At 36.8% G+C, this 24,263-nt stretch overlaps 1 protein-coding gene across 2 annotated transcripts in view, besides 1 other annotated feature; it reads left to right on the forward strand.

Moving 5' to 3' along the window:
- MYO16 (myosin XVI) overlaps positions 1-24,263 on the forward strand; it is a 712,290-nt gene that overhangs the window by 22,938 nt on the left and 665,089 nt on the right. The window lies entirely within an intron of this gene.
- Positions 7,268-7,562: a silencer, noted in NCBI's record as "tiled region #13714; HepG2 Repressive non-DNase unmatched - State 24:Quies". NCBI's record gives its function as "represses a minimal TATA promoter and a strong SV40 promoter by Sharpr-MPRA in HepG2 cells {active_cell/tissue: HepG2}" and the evidence as "EXISTENCE:reporter gene assay evidence [ECO:0000049][PMID:27701403]".

Genomic DNA, 24,263 nt, shown 5'->3' on the forward strand with positions numbered 1-24,263 from the left:
CAAATAATTACTACTTGAAGAAGTGATAAAGTCAAAACAACGGAAAAAGTAACCTCTAAGGACAGATATTTAAAAAAAATGTTGGGCAAAATCACATGCCATAGTGAATAACTCTTAGTGTGGTCTGCTGTATAGTTCTAGATTACCTCATTAGGACAATTTTAACGAGTAGAAAGAAATACAGTGTGGAGGGGTACTTACTGAGAAAAAAAGAATATCAGAAATAAAAATGCTTTAGAAATTCATGATTATTTTAATTTTCTAAGATAACTTAATGGAATTATACATCTCTATCATGCCAAAGGATGCACATAAATTTAGTAATGTGATCTCAGATTAACACACTTTTTCAAAAGAATAGAGACACCAACTTTAAGCATCTTGGAATAGATGCTGCTTTAAAAGTGTTGAAAATAGAAAAAAAAAGAAATTGTATTATGTGGATATTTCCATAATTTTAAAAGATCAGTAGCATAAACACATTTCTTGAGTCTGCATCTTGGTCATCTTACCAGAGGCAAGAAGTCCAAATTTCACACAGGTGAGCACTGAATAGTTTAATCTTGCATCGCAGATGGCTCCAGGTCAGTGGCCAATAATGATTTGTAACATGCCAATGATGGTGTAGGAAAGCCAGCTCTCTCCACAGAGTGCAGCCTGCTTTATAAAGTAAAACAGGCTGGTGACTTTTTCTGCATGGTGGAACTCAAAGTTCCCTTTTCTCTCTTTCTTTGTACTCCCACCCCTCTGTTTTTTCTATTTCTTTCTCTGTTTGTTTCTTCCTTTTTTCTATTTCTGCCTTCTAATCTGCGGATTTGACTGCATTTAGTGGTTCTGTTCTCTTGATTCTGTAAAAGTACTGCATGTATAAGCCAATTGGAAACTTGTATAGATATCATACATAAATTTGAACACTGGAAATAATGGAAACAAACACAAGATTTGCTTGGCCAAAATAAACAATATGCAAAATACACACACACACACACACACACCCACACACACACACACCCCACCAGAAAAAAATCAAACTTTTACACTAAGTCCAGACATTTTTAAGAGTTTACAAAGGCTATCTAAGCATTATGCAAAAATAATGCTAGGAAGACCATTTGTAGGAGTCAAAGTAAATGTACCCGGGAATGAATCCTTTATGTCTTGTTTGCCTTAGGAAAAGGAATTGAAATTAGTGACATTATATAAAAAAACTGAAAACATAAGTTTTGAGAAGATGAGTACTTGTACACTTGAATACTGTTCGTGTTTTAAATAAAAAATTGTTTTAATATACCATATCTAGAGGAAGCGTATTTTTTGACCCTGAGACTATAACCCTGGGGCCATCAGTTTACAAGATAGCAACTTACTAGAATTATTTTTGAGTGCATTTTCGCTGAGAAAATAATAAATGTGAAGATAAAACATTTAACATTCATTTTCCGTAGTTATGCTTTCTTGTCTCCTTCCCTCTCTCCTCTCCTTTTTCTCTCTCCTTCTATGTGACCTGGGCAAGTCATTTAATATCACCATCATGGTGTTCTAATTTATAAATTATATGTCGTAAGATCTGTCTGGTATGCTTCAGTTTTAGTGAGAATCAAATTATGCATGTGAAATTATTTACAAAACGATAATATGCACATTGTAATAGATGCATACACAATTATGTATCTCTGAAGGTAAAATATGCAACTGAAATGGCAATGAAACCCCATATCATTTTATTTGAAAAAAATCCAATTTATGTGTGATTAAAGATATAATCAGACCATATCTGGTTTTTAGATATTAGAGAATATTTTATCTCTTTGTTGTGAATTTTAATCTCTCAGTTTAGCAATTTGCAAATAACTACTCATTTGGGGAATTATTAATCTTGATTCATTGCATTAATAAAATATGGCACATTAAACAAAATTGCTATTTGTCAAGGAGAAAATCGGTTAGTAAAAATCTATTGACAATCCGATACATTTTTACAATTTATTAATACATTGAAATGTTCATCAGTCTCAGATACATTCAAGCCAATAAACTTTTAACACACCCTGTAGTATGGATGCATACAATTTAAAAGCATAGAAGACAAATGAGATTATAATAGAATCAAAGTGTGCAGTGATCACATTGAACTAAATTCCCTATGTATAGACAGTAAGCTTTCTCTTCCAATGATAACTCGCAGTGGATGTTGCTGATGCTTCTCTTCTGAGTCAGTAGAGGATTGGAATTAATTACAATTTGGGCTAAGGGGCCTCAAATGAGTCTGTGCAATGGGTGATTCCCATCTTCCACGTGTTCTTTCCTCCCACGTCCCCATCTCTCTTTTTCCTTCTTTCCTTCCTTCCTTTCTCCCTCTTTCCCTCCTTTGCTCTTCTTCTGTCACTTCCTCCATTTCCTTTCTTTCCTTTCTTCTTCCTTTTATCCAAAATGTATATAGGTCTATTTTGCTAGGTATGAGATGAAAGCAGCACAAGCTATATTCTCCAACCTTCTACAGTCAAACTGGGGAGGCTGGAAATAAACATGTGTGACAGCCTATCTCAGGAGGGGGAGACAACAGAAAGTGTTAGAGAAATTTAGGAAGAAGCAGATTAGTGAGACTAGAATAGATAAGGAGACTTCACGAGGGTGTTGTACTTCTTAAAGGGTGCCTGAAAGACAGATACAATTAAGTGATATAAGTAATCAATACAGACTATATAAGATTTTATGGTTTATTAAATATTATTTTGCAAGTCAGCACTGACTAGCAAGGAGAGCAAACAATGGAAACTTTAAAAATGAATTCCAACTTATTTTAATTATCTACAAAGTCTATTTCCAAAACAGCTATCTGTTAGAGGGGAAGAGTCTTGTTTTTTAATTCTTTTGATCTCAAACATAATTGCCTGTAATATAAATGTATTAGGTGCCTGCATACTACTTACTGCGGTCACCTTTTGTGCAGCTACCTGGTAAATGGCACTATTCAAACTGATAAGTGTGCTCTTTATGTCTGATAATCTACCTCTGAACCTGACATTTGGGACCTTAAGTAGCTTTGCTTGTAAATGTAATTATATATAATGATCTGTTTTGTAAATAGAATGGCTTTTCTTTCCTGTGACTAGTCAACAAAATCTGAATGTGGAAAAAAAATAACAGAAGAAATGGAGCATTAGAGATTTCAGAAAAAGTTCCTATTTTGTATACGTTTTATACTTTCTCTAGATGTACATTAAGTACAGTTTCATCATTATTAATCTGCAATGATATAAATATGACTTGAATTTATCTAAACATTGGTTGGAGGCAGACTGAATTTGTTGACTTTGCATTTCCCCCAGTCTTTCTTCTCAATAGAATATTTCTAGTATTGTGTACACAGGTTTCCCAATAAATAGTTATTAATTATCTTCCAAATGTGAAAACAAATTGAAGGTCAGGAAGGGAAGAGGAAAACAAATTTAAGTACAAAGACTGTTTTGCACAGCTATTGTTCATGTCTTGGAAAGGAATCTTCTTACCCTGCTTTGATGTAGCCCAGAACTGGGCCAGAATCTTGGAGACCCCCAAATTCTTCCCTGTTCAGAAAGCAATGACTTCTATGAATTATAAGATTCAACTAATATGCTAAAAAGAAAATCTGGCAAGTCTATTGCTATTTGTTTACTGAATAATGAACAAATAGCTATATAACTAAATTACATTTAACATGTTCCTTTTTTTCCCACATGGATTTACAATTGTATTTCAGCGAAGAGTCCAGTTCTTGAATCCTGTAATTTCTAAGAACATAGCAATATCTCACTTTTCATGAGTGTATAATCTTCCTAGGGCTAGCATGACAAAATCCCCCAAACTGGGTGGCTTTAACAACATAAATTTACTGTCTCATAATAAATTGACTCCAATAAATTTGGAGATTTATTGACTCCCATAAATCTTGGTGTCTAGAAGTCCAAGATCAAGATGTGAGCAGGGTTGAGTCCTCCTGAGGGTGGTGAGGTAGAATCTACCCCATGCCTCTTTCCTACCTTCTGGTGACTGCCTGGCAATCTTTGGTGTTCCTCGGCTTGTAGATCTCTGCTTTGTCTTCACAGGATCCTTACCATGTGGGGTGTGTGTGTTTGTGTGTGTGTGTGTGTGTCTGTGTGTCTGTCTGTCTCAATGTCTAAATTTCTGCATTTCATAAGGACAAAAGCCTACTCTCATAACCTCATCTTAATGAGGTATATCTGCAATGACCCTACTTGGAAATAATTCCAAATAGGGTCATATTCTGAGGTACTTGGAGTTAGGTCTTCAATATATGAACTTGGGGCAGGGGCACACACTTCAATCCATAACAAAAAATGCCATAGAAAAGCCTCAATCCTTTCTACATAGAGCAATTTAGACAGAGGATAACATTAAATATGGAAATAGACATTACAGGGACTTAGTGAAATGAATGCTGGGGTGGATGAGGTCTCATGTGCAGTGGCCCCAGTGACAGTGAAACAGACGCATCTGCTTGATGCAAATCAGGGTTCCCAGGGACCTACCAGGGAGGAGACATCTTGAGAGTTGAAGAGCATGTGGACCTTGGTCCAGTGAGCAAGAAGCTCAACTCCAACATATCTAAGAGGAAACTCAGATTTCTGAATAAACTTGCACTTTTCCTGAATTTCCTGGAGCCAATGGAAACTGAGTCTGCCCTCCTCCATCGTATCTGTTTCCATTGCCGCTGCCCAGCTTCGGGCCTTACTTTCAGATGCCAGTGCCCTGGCCGGCAGTCTCCCATGACGTTTCTGGCAGTAGCATCTTCCCTTTATCATGCTTCCTGCACATCACTACCTGATTCATCTCCTTAGCACCAGTTTGTTCATTATTCTGCAGACCACAAACCTTCAATGTCTTCCCACCACCTTCCCATCTTATTCAATCTTATTCAAGCTCTTGACCCCAGCAGTCAAATCTTTTCAAAACCTGGCCTGAGCCTCCCTTTCTCATGTCAGCATTCAGTAAAGTTAAAGGGTCTCAGCTCTGGAAGACTTTAGAGGTCATCTGGTTTAACCCTGCACCACATGCATGAACCCTACAACATCCCAGCCAAGTGTGCGTGTCTTATTTCTGCCTCCTGTTCCAGGAACTTTACCTCGTTACCCCACTGACCTGTGTGCATGACATTTCAAGTGTTGATATAGTGTAGATATCTGTCCCCACCCAAATCTCACATTGAATTGTAATTTCCAGTATTAGAGGTGAGGCCTGTTGGGAGGTAGATTGGATCCTAGGCGTGGATTTCTCATGAATGGTTTAGCACCATCCTTTTGGTGCTGTCCTCATGATAGCGAATGAGTTCTTGCAAGATCTGGTCATTTATAAGTGTGTGGCACTGGCCGGGTGCGGAGGCTCACGCCTGTAATCCTAGCACTTTGGGAGGCCGAGGTGGGTGGATTGTCTGAGCTCAGCTGGAAACCAGCCTGGGCAACACAGTGAAACCCCATCTCTACTAAAAATACAAAAAAAATTAGCCTGGGGTGGCAGTGTGCGCCTGTAGTCCCAGCTACTCAGGAGGCTGAGGCAGGAGAATAGCTTGAACCTGGGAAGCAGAGGTTGCAGTGAGCCGAGATTGCGCCACTGCACTCCACTCCAGCCTCGGCAACAGGGCAAGACTCCGTCTCCAAAAAAAAATAAATAAATAAATAAATAATAAAAAATAAAGTGTGTGGCACTTCCCCTGACTCTCTCCCTCTCTCTTCTGTTTTCGCCATGTGAATTACCTGCTTCCCCTTCACCTTGCACCATGATTGAAAGCTCCTTGAAGCTTCACCAGAAGCTGAGCAGATGCCAGCACCTTGCTTCTTGTAAACCCTGTATAACTGTGAGCCAGTTAAACATCTTCTTTTTAAAAATAAATTATCCAGTCTCAGATATTTCTTTATAGCAATGTAAGAACTGTAAGAACAGCTTAATACAAGTGTGTGCGTGTGCTTTCTCATTTCTGTGTCTTTCTTTGTGCCATGATCCTCTTTGAAACACCTTCACCTTTGCCTTACCTCACCAGTGGATTTTACCCCCATCATTCTCCACTATGAAAAATGATTATAACCTCTGGAGCATGGATTGGGATTGTGTGTGATGACAGGGGTAATGACATATATGAGATAAATGATTAAGAGTGAGACGATAATAGAAATAAGAGAAAAAAACAAATGGAATTTGGATATGCAGGTTTGTTTTGAAGGGTTGGATATTTTACATAAAATTTATTTTTGAAAATATAAAGATGGGCTTTTAAAATCATTTGCTTGTTTAATATTGTTTCTGATTTCAAGTTAAAATGATTGCCCTATAATTTATATTTTTAAAACTTTTTTAAAAAAATCAAACTTGTAAAATAATAGTTCATATTCAGAACTGAAATAAGAGAGTGAAGTGTCTGGGAGTGTGAGGACTAGAGTCCACTCAACACACAGACTTTACCTCTGGTTCCCAGCGAGAACGACCATTCAAAATCACCTAGGACACCACGAGATAACGTGTGATGAGTGCTTACAGGGGAAACCAAACTCACTTACCTCAAAAAATACATTTTATAGTAGTGCATTATTGCCTCAAAAATAATTTTGTTTTATGTATAGACTAGGATGCAATAAAATCCATAGCTAAATTATTTAGCTCTCCCCAGTTTGAAGTGCACGTCAGGTGTTAGGCACCTAATGAAAATAATTGAATTAATGAAATGACGGATACCATTCCCTAAGCATTGTGAGTGCTGTGCTCTGCTCACAGTCCTCGAGCCATGTGGGGAGGTTGCTGTGTTTTATTATTTCACTTGAATGTGCATTTATTTGCTGTGGGGATGACCCTGTGCATCTGGCCTTTACCCTAGATGATAGAAGCACACACTACCCCCCAGTTTTGATGACTAAAAATGTCTTCAGACATCGTTACAATGTTTAGGGGGCAAAATCACCTGAAGTTAAAAACCGCTGATCTTGATAGCACCAACTCCATAATCTACTTTTCGTTTAACCAAGTGACTGAACTCTTTGTGGACACTTCCTCAGTGGACCACTCTCTGGTGGCCTAGCATGCCAGGTAGGTGTATGAGCTTGAAGAGGGTTTCACGAGAATCCTAAAAATAAAACCCACACATTTTGGATTTCTTTAATGAATGTATTGCACTTAACTCCAATGATCAAGAATTCATTAACTTTTACTCATTTTACACATTGTGTGTGCTTGAGCAAATGATCCTTTTTTTTCTTGTTTTAAGTGTGGCAACAGATGCTGCTCTTCATCTTCCTAGGTCTGATTTTTTTTTTTTTCTGGGGAGGGGATAGGGAGGAGAGATGAGAAAGACACCAGCTGGTGAATGCAGAATTAATTACAGATTGTTTCCCTCAAAAAACACATACATGGATGACCAACCTCTAGTGACTTTGGCAGCTGTTCCTGCCCTTTTAAGATTACTAGTAACTGGACAGATACTCTATTCTTTTTCTTGGAAGCATATGTTGCAATTTTGGGGAATTTGGAAGAGTAGAAGGTTTGTTACAGATACTATATCTGATGAAAAATTTAGACTACGCATGCATTTGCTTCCAAAATCAATTATAAAACTTATTAATTTACTAACTTTTTGGTAGAACTTGAATGTTTGTGAGACAAAAATGAATAAATACATTTCATAAAAAGGCTACCTTAGAAGTCACCATATATGCCTTAAGAGAAGAAAACTTTCAGAGAGGTAAAAAATGATTTTTTATATTGTATTTGAAAAATAATGACCTCAACAATATTTAAGTGATCTTTAAGATTTGTTGTTTCCATGGCAGCAGTTTTGTGGGGGCATCTTTTTTCCCCAAATGCTGATTTGTTAATGGTTTAAGCGCGTTGAAATAGAGCCTTTCAGGAAATGCTTGGGCAAAACAAACAAGATTATTACTGAACGAATAGTGCTAGAATCTTTACAAACGAAATCATTTTAATTTAAATTATAGTTAAAAAGAAGAATTTTAATAATCTCAAAAATACAATTTACATATTTTATCCAATTTCTCACTTTCCATTTATTCCTCAACCTACCAAATTTGAACTTTTGTCAAAGTATGTCATTAATAAATACATTGTATCTTCCTGTGAATATTCTGTTATTTCTGCCTTTTTCTGTTGGTCACTACATCTGCTGATTCTACTGCTAATATTTCTCTCTAGTCTATTACTTACTTTTTATGCAGAAGCAGAGTACTGTCAGGGTTATAACAAGCACAGACTTTTAGACAAACTGCCTAGGTTTGAATCTTAGTTCTGCAATAGGCTGATCTTGTGGAAAGGCAATAGAGTCTGCTATCTTTTTCTTTCACTAACAAATAAGGTCAAGTCATTAAATTTGGATGAAGTTACAAAATACTGTGTGATCACAGATGGTGAGTTAATTATCATGAGGTTGGTGGATAAAATCAACTTTCTATGACAAAATGGTTCATAACTCCAAGTGAACAAGCACGGCTTTCTAAGACAAATTTCTAACAAATGTAGCTTTTTGCAATGAACAATCATAAACACAGTCCCTGGAACTTATACATTATTAAAACAGATTTTTCAATATTTATAGGAAGGGTTTTTTTTTCTCTTAGCAAAGGGATTTCATTTAGAAACCCAAGTTCATGATGACAAGCTGCAGATTAACTGTAGTCAAGTTTGATCATATCTACTAAGTAAATATTGCCAAAATTTTTCTTGTTTTTTAATAAGATGTAATGGTTAAGTGCATACCTTGATTTAACAAATTCCCCATATCAACAGCCTCCAAATTATTTGCATGACTCCTTATTAAACTGTTAATTAAGGTTTGTAACCTCTGGCTTCAGTTATAGTTTATTGTAATGGCTGAGTCAAAGAATATGAGGCTTATAATTTTCTCTTTCTATGCATACTCATTAAAGAAATCATTTTGCAAGGATTCCTGTAGCTGCTCAAAATTGTTTGGTAATTTGAATAATATGAGTGATCATTTTGTATACAGCTGCCTTTCTAAAATCTCTGTGGTAATGGTATATGCCAATAAAAGGATTCTTTGAAAATAACAGGTTAGTTTCATAACTTATTTATTTAATTTGTAAGGATTATTAATGTAGGAATTTCAGTTCAGTAATAACTCTGTTTGTTTTGCCTACCTTATTTTTGAAAGTGCATTTTTTTTCCAATTGGCCTTTCTAACATTTCTAAGTTAGCAGTATGCCAATGAAAGGATTCTTTGAAAGTGAGGGTGTTAGTTTTCTGTTTAACAAGGACTTTCCAAATGTGCCCCTTGCTTTATGATCTGGTATCTGTGTATCTCTGGTGTAAACATGTCACTTCAGTGACAGTTCACTCTCTGAAACCTGATTCCATTCATTTTGACACTGGAAAATTGGTAACTACAGGATCTCCAGGCATTTACTGAAACATGAGGAAGTAAGATTATGGAAAATAAGATAAATACAGAAAATAGTGACAGGCATCTACAGAGGTGAAGCTTTAAGCAATTAAGTGGGATGAATGCTTCATGAAAACAGATTAGCACTTGTATTTACCATATCCGACAGCCTTTTGTTTATATGGCATTTTAAACCAAAGCATTGTGAATTAGCTGAAGGACAAAATCTCAAAAAGGGGCAGACCCCATTAACAGTTTACCTTTTGGCCAGATGGCATAACTTAGGGCTATTTATCTGGCTGTGAGGATAGAATTTGGGATGACAAACGTTAGGTCTGATGCCAAGAATAGGACAGGAAACTAATACAGTGAGGAGACATGGAGCTATCTGTTCTAAGTTAATATAGCATGATTTAAAATGCTAGTTCATGTATTAACTAGAAAATATTAGTTCCCCAAATTGTACTTGAAACATGAGAGTAGCTTCATTTTATTTTGTCTCTCCTCTCCTCTCCTCTCCTCTCCCCTCCCCTCCCCTTTCCCCTCCTCTCCCCTCTCCTCTCCTCCCCTCCCCTCTCCCCCTCCCCTCCTCTCCCCTTCCCTTCCCTCCTCTTCCCTCCCCTCTCCTCTCCTCTCGTCTCCTCTCCTTTCCCCTCCTCTCCCGTCACGTCACCTCCCTTCCCTTCACCTCCCCTCACCTCCCCTTTGCCTCCCCTCTCCCCTCCTGTCTCCTCCCTCTTCTCTCTTCTCTCTCTTTTTTCTAAAAATGAAGTTTTCAGCTTTTGACGATGTGAGAGGAAGAGAAACTGACAATAACTTAAGCAAATGAAGGGGTGGGAAGGAAACAAGGTAAAGGTTTAGACCAGTGTAGGGTTTAACTTTCCCCAGGTTGGAAGTGACGACTCGATGGCAACATTTCAGGTCCCAGAAAACTGCATACTCCTTTTAACATTCCCTTTCATCTCTCTCTTTACATTTCCAAATCTTTCAGAACATAACCTAAATATCATTTCCTCCAGAAAGACTTTCTTACTAATTCACCCCAACTTGGAATAATCTCCTGCCTTCCAAACACCAGTACTAACCACCAATTGTCCTTATGGTTTAACTATATATTTCCTTATATTTTTTATTGTTAGCATAAATATTTTCTTACGTATTTTTTTCTGATCTTTGATTCTCATCTCTCTGCTGGAGCATGAGGATCACTAGGGCATTCAGAGCAGGTAGAGTTACGTGCACCCTTTTCTCACTCCAGAAACTAGCATGAGCCTTGAGGAGAGTATACTCTTCCTTGCACACTTCTTCATTTGCTGAACTGCCAATCTGGATACCATGTATTCATACTTTAAAGCCATTTTTTTTTAATCTTACTAAAGTGGTCTCTTTTGAAAGCACACAGGTCTTCCAGTGTTTTGGATTTGTGTTTTCTCTATTAAAACCCCACCAGGGCAAGCTTCACTAGAGCTACTGATGTTCGCCGTGCACATGAACTAAAAATGTTGGGTAACATAAAATGAAAAACATAATCAGAGGCAGACTGGGGACCTGAGTCTGGGTTATCTTCAGGATCAATTCACCTTGAACCTGACAGTTAATTGTGAAGTGCATAACTGGATGGCAGGGTAAGTTACAATGATCTTTCCCAAAATTACAGCCTCATCTTGAAGAGTGTTTCTTTAATTCATGCTGATTTGATTAACCACAAGGGTTCTCATTTACAAATCCTTGGGAATACTGAACACCTCTTATGATCATCCCTGGTGCAACAGAACCAATTTTATTGTGACTTCAGCTAAGTTGATCTGGTAACCCACTTGGGTGCCACTGCGATTGCCTTTGATCCACTCTGTTACAGCACAGGGGCAGAGTGGGGGATTTGATTGAAGAATATTTATTTGATTTCTCTCTCACTAAGGTTTTCTAGAACCCCAAGTAGTTCCCAACAATTTCCTGCCATCCCCACAGTAAGCCTCCCACCTGGACAGGTGGGTCCGTGTGCATTCCCAATTCCTTCTGCTCCCAAGTGAGCTCAGTGCTGATGTCTCTCTGCATTTCCTGCTGCTCAGACTTTCTAGACACTTCTGTGGATCCTTCCATTTCTGCTACTTCCAAGTCACTTCTAAGTTATATGGGGGAAATCTAGAGAGAGAAGAACTGGGAGGGTGAGAGTCCACTCTACCAACAGCCATGTATCAGAGTCAGTCGAAGGACGAATTACTGGGAACCAAAAGCAAAAGAGGAGATGTAGCATTAAGGATGCTGAAAAAATGAGAGACTAAAAGGATAAACAGGACTAAAAGCTGCAAAGAAGAATGGGATGATGATATTTCAATGTTTGGTGTGACAGGATAACACCAGTTGTTGACTTCTAGAATTATTTCTTTCAGAGAAGATAGATTTGAATAGATCAAACGTTCACCTAGGTTACTTCCTTTAATAATGGCACTGCAATTAAAAAGCCAGCTCTTTAGTTTCATTATGTTACTAACATATTAATTCCATGTGATTATTTGGTTAATGGATATTGCTTTGCTAAAATACAGGCTCTGTGGAGACAGAATATGTCTGTTTTGATCACTGCCATATTCACATTTAGCTAAGTGCCTAGCTTATGGTAAAAACTTAAGTTTTACTTGTGTTTATGTTCAAAATATAACAAAATGTATCATATATACAATATAATGTTATGTTATACTTTTAATTACTATTGAGGTTTGATATTGTTAATGAGTATTATCACTATATTTCCTATTTGGGATAATTATCTTTACCCATTTATATAGTTGGGTCTTAAAATTTTTTTATTGATTCACATGATGCTATCAACTCTATCGTGAGAAATCTTGTCAATGTTTTCTAAGTTTTTCTTGCGTTTGTTTATGGTTTTTTTTCAAATGGAGACAATTTAATTTTGTTACCTTCATAGTTATGGATCTTTTCTTTCATGACTTTTTTTCACTGCATTTAGGTTTAGAAAGTATTCAGTCATACAAAGATCAGCCTTGCTGGTAGAGAGAATAGCATTTGTGCAAACGTGGAGTTGGCCTGGTGAGGTGGTTTCCAGGAAGTAAAAGAAAGTCAGTGAGACTGAAATTCACAGTGGAGAAGATAGTTTAAGGTGAGGTTGGCAAAGTTAGTCCGAGGTCAGAGTATGCAGGGCTTTGAAGCTGTATTAAGGATTAGTGTCTTTGTTCTTAGAGAAATGTGTAGCCCTTGAAGGGTTTTACACATAAGACAATAAGAGCAATGTAAAGACCACTCTGGAGGAGGAGGAAGAACATCGGGAGGAAGCAGAACAAGGACAGTGTGCAATGAAGATGGTCTTAGCAGTTTCTACGGAAGTGAGTGCTTTGCTGACTAGGTGGCAGAAGTGGAGAGAAGTGGATGCATTTCAGAGATCTATTTTAGAGGTAGATTTGGACTTGAGATAGGTTTAAAGTGGGCTTCGGGAGAAGAGGAAGATAGGAAGGAGGATGACCCTGTTTCTGATATGAGCAGCTGATGGGTGGACGTACTCGTTACTGAGACAGGAAACATGAAAGAAGATACAGCTAAGCCTAGAACATGCTTTCTAATTTTTTTTTTTTTGAGAAAACTATGAGATACTCAAATGAAATGTGAGTCAGACAGTTGACATATGCTTTACAAAGCTCACACAAGGCACAGGGCCTGTAAATAAAATATTAGAAGTCACTGGCTAACAATTAATGAATATAAATATGGATGGGCTCACTTAGGGATATAGAAGAATGAGAAGAGAAAGACTGGTTCTAGACATTGAAGAACCCCTACATTTAAAGATCAAACTAACAGCACAATTAGGCCAGAAGAGTCAAGGGATATGTAAAAGAGTATGAGGTCATCAAAAGCAGAAGGCCCGGCCTGGTGGCTCACGCCTGTAATCCTAGCACTTTGGGAGGCCAAGAAGGGCAGATCACTTGAGGTTAGGGGTTCGAGACCAGCCTGGTCAACATGGTGAAACCCTGTCTTACTGAAAATACAAAAATTAGCCAGGCGTAGTGGTGCACACCTGTAATCCCAGCTACTTGGGAGGCTGAGGCAGGAGAATCGCTTGAACCCAGGAGACAGAGGTTGCCGTGAGCCGAGATTGTGCCAGTGCACTCTAGCCTGGGTGACAGAGTGAGACTCTGTCTCAAAAATAAATAAATAAATAAAATAAAAATAAATAAATGAAAAATAAGAGCAGAAGAAGCAACTACTTCAAGAAGAGGGGTAATTAGCTGTGTAAGATCCCACTATGTGTTTAAGTCAAATGGGTAACAGTATTAACAACATGGAATTTATTGGTTATCTTCAAAGGAGCTGTTTGAACAGAGTAGTGATATCAGGAGAAAAAGAGGGATGAGGAGTGAGAAAATAACCATCTTCTGCTTGTTTTTGAGAAGAGAGAGTGTGGTAACTGAAAGAGATGGGAGAAATGAATGTTTTTAAAACAAAAGAGGCTGGGTGTCATGGCTCATGCCTGTAATCCCAGGACTTGGGATGCTGAGGTGGGAGGATTGCTTGAACCCAGGAATTGAAAACCAGCTTGGGCAACATAGTGAGACCCCCATCTCTACACAATTAAAAATTATCTGGGCATGGTGGCACGTGTCTGTGGTTCCAGCTACTTAGGAGGCTGGGGCAGGAGCATCACTTAAACCTGGGAGGTCGAGACTGCAGTGAACTATGATTGCATCACTGCACTCCAGACTGGATGATAGAGCAAGGCCCTGTATCAAAATAAATAAATATTACAAAATACAATGTTTTAGAGAAGGTTTGTATATGAGAGGACACATCTAGTGTGAAGGATTGCATGACAATGCAAGAGAAAGAGGCCCCTACCTTAGAAAGTGAGGTCCCTAACAAAATGGAAGAGAATGGCACCCAGAAGAGCAAAAGCCAGCTGGCCTCCACTGTGAGAAGAGATACCTGCTTCATTTAGATGGAAGGAAGAAAAGGTATGGTTTGTTGATGGAAAGATGGGTGGATTCCCATCTGATGACTTCTGTTTTCCTTTCAAATTATGAAGCATGGTTACTGGTGAAACTGATTTGGAATGGTGGTGAGGGGAGACCACATTGTGTCATAGAGAGGACCATTCATGTCAGGGTAAGGGGGTTTACATAGCTAGTAGCAACCTGTGTAGTCAAGGATTTGGCCTCATCCAAAGAGAAGTTACCTCCCGAGAGGTAACTATTTAAGTGTTGGACTTTTTGAGGTGATAGAAGTGTCTTTGTTGTGCATGGTATGCCTCTGGGACCACACCTGATAGTTTAAGGCTAATGAGATGACTCAGGGTGGGGCTGGCCCAACCACATAATCTAGGGGTGGGAGTTGTCCATGCCAGAATGACCATCATATGATTAGGTTACATGATATAATTTGACCTAAAGACTGAGTTCAGCCATGTGGGCAATGCATCATCAATCATGCTTTTTTAGTGAAGCCTCAGTAGAAATTTTGGACACTGAAGCTTGGGTGAACTTTCTGGATTGGCAGTGCTCTTTGTGTGTATGCCACACATTGATGCTGGGAGTGCAGTGTCTTTGAGGACAATAGAAGCTCTGCACTGGAATTCTCCCAGACTCTGTCATATGTATTTATCACTTTTTCTGGTTCTAATTTGTATGCTTTCCTTGAAATAAGCACAGCAAATATGTATTTAGTCAGGAAAAAATAAAGATTTCCATTCGGGATGACATTCTATTTTCCATATAAATAAACTATTATTAAATGAATTAAAATGGCCTTGAAGGAAAAAATGCAGATGTTCTTTTTTAGTGATTTCATCTGCATATATTCAATTGAACATATATAGCACCCTGCAAATGGTTCTCTGATTTTAATACTGGAACATTTTTCCTTACTGGAAATTTTATATCACCTTCCTCTGCCCCCTTAGTTTTGCATAGTTGTGAAAGCAGATTTTTTTTATGTTTGCTCAGATAGGCTGGATATTACTGGAAGTGTTACAACTCAAGCTAATTACTATAATCATTACGCAAGAATTGAAACGGTGCTTGTTCTGGTTCTAAGAGGTTATTTTCTTGCTTTCAAGTTCTGGTTTAACATTTTGTTTATCCTTTAATTGTACTTGTGTCTAAAAATTGTTTTTATTGCATCAGCTATATTAATGGGAAATTCAGAAGAAAGCCTTCAAACAAGAATATTATTTTAGTCATCTTTTAGGATCATTCTTAGAAACCATTTCCCTCCCTTGGACCACCATTTCTACATATTGTTATTGAAAGTGGGAAGTTTCATCTTCACTATCCTAAAGCTTCTAGGGAAAGCTGTCTTTAGTTTTGACATAATATTCATTAGCCCCAGAAGAAACCCAGTGCTCAGAGAATCCCAAATTTACTTGATTGTTCTTAGGTTTGGTAGACACAGCAAGAAAAATGGGTCATGCTGCTGTCAAAGTAGCTGACTCCTGGCATTTTTCCTGAATGTCCACACATAAGATACTAAACCTTTTACGAAAAAATTGCAGTTTTTTTTTTCCAATTCTACCCAGGAAGGGTGAAAGTGGGAAACACGGAGTCTCTACTCACTCTGCTTCTACATTAAAAAAAAACCCTCAAAGAGGAATCTCTGCTCTTCATTGGCTCATTTTGTTGACTCTGTAGCCAACTAATCTCTATAGGTGAAAAGTAATACCTGACAGTTCCTTACTACTGCTACTACAACTCCTCCTCCTCCTCCTCTTCTTCCTTCTTCTTCCTCCTTCTTTCTTCTTCTTCTTCCTTCCTTCCTCCTCCTCCTCTTCTTCCTCTTCTTCTTCTCCTCCTCATCCTCTTCCTCCTCCTTCTTCTCCTTCTTCTTCTTCTCCTCTTTCTTCTTCTCCTTCTTCTTCTCCTTCCTCTCTTCCTTCTTCCTCTCTTCTTTCTTCTTCCTCCTTTTTTCTTCTTTCTTCTCCTCTTTCTTCTCTCCTTCCTTCCTTCCTCTTCTTTCCTCTTCCTCCTCTCCTTCTCCTCCTTCCTCTTCTTCTTCCTCCTCTTGTTCTTCTTCCTCTTCTTCTTCCCCTCTTCCTCTTCCTTCCCTCCTTCTCCTCCTCCTTTTTCTTCCTCCTCTTCCTCTTGTTCTTTCTTGCTCTTCTCTTTTTAAAAATTTTTTTAGCAAAGAGGAAACTCTTTGAATGGGGAAATAATCTGCCAAACATCAACAGCTCTCAGTTCTATTCACTTGTATTACTTAAGTACAGGCTTGGATAATGTGACAAACAAACAAACAAAAAAACAACATCTAAAATACCAATTGTCTCAATAATATAGATGCTTATTTTTCTTTCCTATCTGTTGACTGACATGCACAGCCTGGGGCTGGCATGGTGGTCCCATGATCATTCCGGACCAGAATCCTTCTATCTGGTGGCTTCCCATAGTTCAATATGGTAGCTGCAGCTCCAATGAACATTCTCACATTTTAACTTTCAAGGTTAACACTATTAACACTATTAAACACTATTATTTGAAAAATATTATTTGAAAAATAACAAAATATGCCATTTCCCTTTCAGAGAATAGTGTTTAATATAATAATTCCCTGTTAGGGAATCTGTGGAAAATTTCATTCATCACTTTCCCTTGAGCCCCGTAGAATGGAATTTACTCTATGGCTTTACTTAGCTACAAAAAGTAATGGAATATGTAGTCTTTTTTCTTAGGTGTCCTCAGGTCAAACCAGAATTCAAGAGTGGTATTACTTCACTGTAGTGTCAATAGGCTAGAACCATGCCTTGTGCTTTAACTATAGACCCAGCTGCTTCCAAAATACTAAGTACTTTTCAATATTTTACTTAATGTTGATCATTTTATTTGTCTTAATACCCTTTCTTCTGAAAATTTGGAGTGGGGATATTTTAGGAGATGTCCAGCTGATAAAAGAAAACTTCACTTTTGTGGAACTCCACATGTTTAGCCTTTCTGTGTTTTATGTCTGTGTGTATATGCGCATACGTGTGTGTGCATGTGTGTGTGCATGTGTGTGTGCACGTGTGTGAGTGTGCTTACTTTGGTTGGATACAGGAACATTGCTAGATGCGGTAATTTTTAAAAATCAATGCCATTGGAATATATAGTGTAGGCTAAGTGAGAGTATTTATTAATTCCCTAGTGATCTGCTTCAGCTCAGCCTTAACTGAGTCACTTGGAGAAGAGAGAAACAATTTCAGTTTTGATGTAATCTCTTTAGGACCAGTAGTCAGAGAGCTACAGATTTACAACTGACTCCTTCTCAGGGATTTAGTTTTGCAGTGACTACCCTGGACATTCACAGTGGAATAAGTTTATTAGATTATTAAAGCTGGGGAGGGGACAAGTTGAAAATAATGTTGCAAGAGAGAGCAAACAGTTTAAGTTATGAAATACATGGAATCCTTGTTTCTTGGAGCTGTATTTCATGTATTCAGGAGTCAGGGTGGGGGTGGGGGTTGAATTTTAACAATAACAGTAACAAGCTCTGTAACCTTGGACAAGTTACATAACCTGTCTATATCTTAGTTTTCTCATCCACATATAGGGAAAATGAATGTATTGTTCACTCATCACTTAATAATGAAACTCTCAGAAGTGAATCAGTCAATTTAATGACTTGACAATAACTTTGGAAATGTTAATGAAGGAATACCTGAAACTTTTAGTATAAACCAGATTTGAAGACTTTTCTTATTTCTCACCTTTTCTGTGTGAGAAATAAGATATGTCTATACAATAAGACATTCAACAGTTGAATGTCTTAATATATTATTATAAAAATGGAGGAAGTAAGAAATATTTAAAATCTAAACCTGTCATTTTACTAAGGAGACGGAACAGGATACCAAATAAATCCAACCTTAAGTCCATCATCACAAATAGTGTTGTTGAGATTCCTGGAACTAATGTTTGGGGTTTCTGATGTCAAGTATTATGCTCTTTCTTTATTTTTATAGATGAAGGAGTGCACATGTGCAGTTTTCTTACATGGATACATTGGAAAATGGTGAAGTTTGGGCTTCCAGTGTACCCATGAACTGAATAATGAATAGTGTACCAGATGAATAATGAACAATGTACCTAATAATGAACAGAATAGGTTATTTTTCAACCCTCACCCACCTCTGCATTTTGGAGTTCCCAGTATCTGTTATTCCCATTTTTATTTCCGTGTGTACCCATCATTTAGTTCCCACTTATAAGTGAAAACAAGTGGTATTTGATTTTTTGTTTCTGAGTTATTTCACTTACGATAATGGCCTCCAGCTCCATTCATGATGCTGCAAATGACATGATTTTATTTCCTTTTTATGGCTGCATAGTATTCCATGATGTATATTTTCCACAGTTTCTTTATTCAATCATCAGTTGATGGACACTTAGGTTGATTCCATGACTTTGCTATTGTGGATAACGCTGTGATAAACATATGACTATAGGTGTCTTTTTGATATAACAATCCTTTTCTTTGGGTAGACATCCAATAGAAGGATTACTGGGTTGAGAAGTAGTTTTATGTTTAGTTTCTTGAGAAATCTCCATACTGTTTTCCATAGAGGTTGTACTAATTTACATTAACACTAACAGTGGGTAAGCATTTCCTTTTCTCTGAATCCTCACCAACATTTGTTTTTTTGTTTTTTGTTTTTGATGTTTAATAATAGCCATTGTGACTGGTGTGAGATAGTATCTCATTGTGATTTTAATTTGTATTTCTTTGATGATTAGTGATGCTGATAATTTTTTTCCTGTGTTTTCCACTTGTATGTCTTTTTTTGAGAAATGTCTGTTCATGTCCTTTGCCCACTTTTTAATGGGATTATTTATTTATTTATTTTTCTTGTTGAGTTGTTTAAATTCTTAGTAGACTGTGGGTATTAATCCTTTGTCAGATGCATAGTTTGAAAATATTTTCTCCCATTCTGTAGTCTGTCTGTTCATTCTGTTGCTTGTTTCTTTTGCTGTGCAGAAGCACTTTAGTTTAAGCCCATTTGTCTATTTTTGTTCTTGTTGCCTTTGCTTTGGAGATCTTAGTAGTAAGTTCTTTGCTGAGGCCAATGTCCAGAAGAGTTTTTTCTAGGTTTCCTTCTAGAATGAGCACTTTCTTTTTCTATTAGCACAAAATATATTTATGTATGGGAGATAATTTAATCCATGAAAGTAGATAGACTAATAAAGAGAATGTCACAGAAAGAAAGGTTCAAGGTGGGATCAGAACAAATAAGAATATTTAAAGGATACAGAGAGTAGAAAAACTGTGCAGATAGGAGAAGTAATCAGAGACTAGAAAGATCACTGAGGAAGTATAATATCGTGAGAAGGAAAACCAATGTTAAACAAGGTAAGTGAGCAAGATTTTTCACTTTAGAAATTAATGGATTATTAGTGACTTCATCAAGAGAAATTCCACTAGTGGTTGTGTGGGTATGGGACAGAGGGATCAAATCCAGAACACAGTGGGTCTGAGAGTGAATGTTGGGGTGACAAAGTGAAGACAGCAAATACTGATTATTCCTCACCAAAGCTTAGCTCTGAATGGAATGAAAGTCAAGAGGTAGAGGAACCTATGGGTGATTTTTTCAGGGAGGCTTATCATTCTGGAGAGGTAGCTGCTAAGATTGATCCCTACTGATACAGTATCCTTGCCTCCCTCCAACTTCACTCTGAAATATTAGACAACAGATGCTCTTTTTATTTATTTCTGTGTCCCTAGTGTTTAGCACTATGGCTAGAAAACTCAAAATCTTTTTGTGGAATGAACAAAAAATTCTCACATGGCACTCTAACATAAAGTTAGTTTTTGTACCATGCCAGTCACCAGTTGCAAACTTGGATCTGGCCACTGGTGTCTGTAAGAATATTCAACTTAGGTTTGAAAAGAAGCAATGGAAGTTTTAAATCTTCCCTTTTTGAGTTCTCCCAACTGAATAGTGTGTACCACTCAGTCTAATCTATTGCATTTTTCTCCATCCTGTTCACCTCTGCCTTTACCTGGTGCTTTTCCCTGTGAGATGCATCACCTGCAGCTTACTAGCTACAGCACCAGATTTAAAAAATAGACTGCCTGAGTTGTTATTTATCGGAAAAAATTGCTTTCCAGTGTTTCATGTCCTGTACCTGAGTTAAGAGGGATGGTTTTTATCAGTATTTGCCAAAAATTCTTTTGAAGAAAATGTCCTTTTTAACGTTAATAATTTAATGCTCAGACACATAATATTCAATATCTGCTTTGCAGAAGAGTAAGCTGCTTTTATAAACTCAAGAACTCCTCACCACTGTACATTGCAAGGCAGGACAGGGCCCACATTTCACTGGTATTGGTCAAATATCAATCTGCATGGACACCCTCTCCATTCAGTTTTCAGTTCTTAGGGAGCTGGCATTTCATTCTTTGAGCAAATGAATGATGAAAGATCTAAAACATCTATTAAACTTCATAGTTTGTCTAGGAAACCAGGAGAAGAAGGTGTGAATTGATGATGAACCTCCCTGTGGGACAAATAACTTACGATCTGCTAAATAGTAGATAGAAGGCTATGGCTAAGAAGTAATATTACAGTAGTTGTGTGCAGATATTTCTCGCATTGAAAAATGGGTTGATTAATGGCATGCTTATGGAGAAAGCGCTAATCTGGGATTCTGTTACTGTATTTAATTAACTAGTCAACCATTGAAGATCCATGGAGCTTAGGTCTACAAGTGAGAGATAATCAATTTCTGATTTTGCTCTGTCCACAGCTGAGGAGAAGATGGTTGCAAACCTGAGAAAGCTCAGCCAAAAGAGTAGATCAATATTTCATTTTGTCTTTGTTACTGGTTATCTAATGGGAGGAAATGCACTTCTCTTTTCCTTACTTTTTCCTTGGCTCTACACTGGCACAATTTTCAAGGAGCTCAGAAATGTGAGTTGGAAAAAGAGTATTAAATTATTAGTGTCATTGCAAATGACAGTTACATGCCAAGGTTATGCAACCAATGTTTGTCACTAAAATTAAAAGTAATAATGTAATGGGAGAAGTATATTATCAGCAAATGAATGATTCAAGATTTTTAGGGATGATCAGCTTGATTTCTGTAATTACATGACTAGCTTCTCACTTTTCTTGTGCAACTATTGAATGAGAGCCTGAACAAACTACACTGTAATGAAGGACACTGGTAGGAAAATATTTGTTATTATAGTCATATATGCATATTCATGCCATGAGCAATGTAAATGGTAGAAATGTCAAAGGCTATGCCATATGAATTTTAAATGACTTATTGTTATAGGTTTTACTTTGTCACAAAGGTTGTATTTTGTAGAACTGTAAAAGAACAGTGGCTCTTGTGTCAAATGAGAATATTGGAAAAACTTTTTTTGGCCCATGTGGATCAAGCCTTTGTTTTACTCACAGTGACACTTTAAGATGCCATCCAAAAGAAGTGAATCTGGTATGACTGAGGAACACACTGAGTGATTGTATGGTGTAACTGATATTGCCTTTTCACAAGGAAGAAACTATTTAGAACTTGTGTGATTATACATAACAAATTTCATAGGTTCAGTCTGTTAAAGCCTGGAACATTAGAGATCTCTTTGCCACTCCCAGAAAATAAACAAATAATATGAATAATTTTTGCTGGAGTATAAGTTCCTTAGGTAGGAATACAGCACACCAATTTCTTCAACTGCTTCCATATTCACCATAACATGAGTGCTGCAAAGAGCCCATTTCTGAAGAGCCACTCTCACAAGGCACAGTTTGAAGAGCTTAGTTGGATCAGAAGTGCAAAGCTTCATGTTTTTCTACAGGCAGAACTATTTTGAGACAGTAACCTCAATGTCAGCCAAGAAAGAGAAAGTCCTGTCTTATTCACAAATATATAGCAAAATTTTAATTTCTAAGATGTTGAAAATTATAAAACTTTATTATATTGATCAGAATGCACATGCGAAGTGTTGATTTAAAGATTAGGAAATACTCTTAGGTGACATAAATATTGGGACGGAATGAACGTTGTTTTCATTTGACATGACCTGAGACTTTCCTTGCAGGAAGACCACAACAGTTTCATAGGGCAGTTGGCTGTTACTGAATGCTTATTACTCAATATGCCTCAGTAGCCCTGGATGACCCCTTAATATTGACTATTTGTGACAATATTTTTTCAAATCAATATGGGGAAATTGAAGTAAAAATTTACATATTTTCTGTAAGTGACTTTACAGACATATAACTTATATATTACATTATACATCTAAATTATGTATAAATGTGTCTATATAACATCTATATTATATAGATACATGTATTAATTCATAGATATATGTATAATTATGCATCTATTAATTTATATATTTGTTTTATATATACATTAATTTTTGTATTTTATAAATATTAAAATAAAACATGTATTCACAATATTCTATAAGAAATACACTTTTTGATACACTATAATATTGAATAGATAATTGATTTTACCTTACAGGCTATTATATTTCACTCTTTAGTTTTTGTGCTTTAAAGATTATGGGTCCAGCATTTCTTTTCATCTTTCTTTTAAACATTTTACCATAAAAAGTTTTCATTATACTGAAAATTTAATATAATAGCAGGATAAACCTTCAGATACTCTAGATTCAACAATATTTATTCAAAAGAAGACCTACATGTGGCCAAAACAAGCATATAAAAATGCTCAATATCACTAATCATTAGAGACATGCAAGTCAAAACCACAATAAGATACCATCTCTCAACAGTCAAATGGCTGTTATTAAAAAGTCAAAAAATAACAGATGCTGGCGAGCTTGTGGAGAAATGAGAACTCTTATACATTGCTGGTAGGAATGTAAATTAGTTCAGCCATTGTGGAAAGCAGTTTGGTGATTCCTCAAAGGACAAAAAACAGAGCTACCATTTGACTCGGCAATCCCACTGCTGGGTATTTACTCAAAGGAATACAAATCATCTTATTATAAACACACATGCATGCTTATGTTCATTGCAGCACTATTGACAATAGCAAAGACATGGAATCAACCTAAATTCTCATCAACACTAGACTGGATAAAGAAAATGTGGTACATATACATCATGGACCATGGAATACTATATAGCCATAAGAAAGAATGAGATCATGCCATTTGCAGGAATGTGGATGGAACTGGAGGCCATCATCCTTAACAAACTAACACAGAAACAAACAAACAAAAAATCTCATGGTCTCACAAGTGAGAACTAAATAATGAGAACACAGGGACAGAAAGGGGAACAGAAAAAACTGGGGCTTACTTAAGGGAAGAATTTGGGAGGAGAGAGAAGTTTAGAAAAAAAAACTGTCAGGTAATATGCTTAGTATCTGCGTGATGAAATAATCTGTAAACCAACCCCCAACCCCCGTCACAAGTTTACCTTTGTAACAAACCTGCATCTGTACCCCTGAACCTAAAATAAAAGTTAAAATATTTTTTAAAAATAAATAGTTACTGGGGTTTTTGGTTTTGTGACTTTCTTTGGTGTCTCAAATCCTATGGTATTTATTGAAATGAGTTAAACATGCAAATTTATCCTTGAGATTAGCCTTTATTTTGAAATCTTACATACAAATTCTCAGGAAGTAATAAATTCACTGGCATTTATATAAATGTGGCTATTGATGTATGGACTAGGTACTGGAGGATTTTCCATAATAACAGAAGAAAATTGATTTTCCCTATAGTTTTGAAGAGTGTTCTTGAGAAACAGAGTTTTCTGTAACTGGAATAAAGCCATGAATCAGGGAAAATGTGAGAAAGCCCATCTGCATTTTATTCTATTATTAATTTTAAATAAACCATGTTCATTTATAGTTTATATTTATTTATAGTAATTTATTTTATAATAATGTGATTATTTATA

Source organism: Homo sapiens, chromosome 13 (genome assembly GCF_000001405.40).
Source record: "Homo sapiens chromosome 13, GRCh38.p14 Primary Assembly".
NCBI classification, from domain to species: Eukaryota; Metazoa; Chordata; class Mammalia; order Primates; family Hominidae; genus Homo; species Homo sapiens.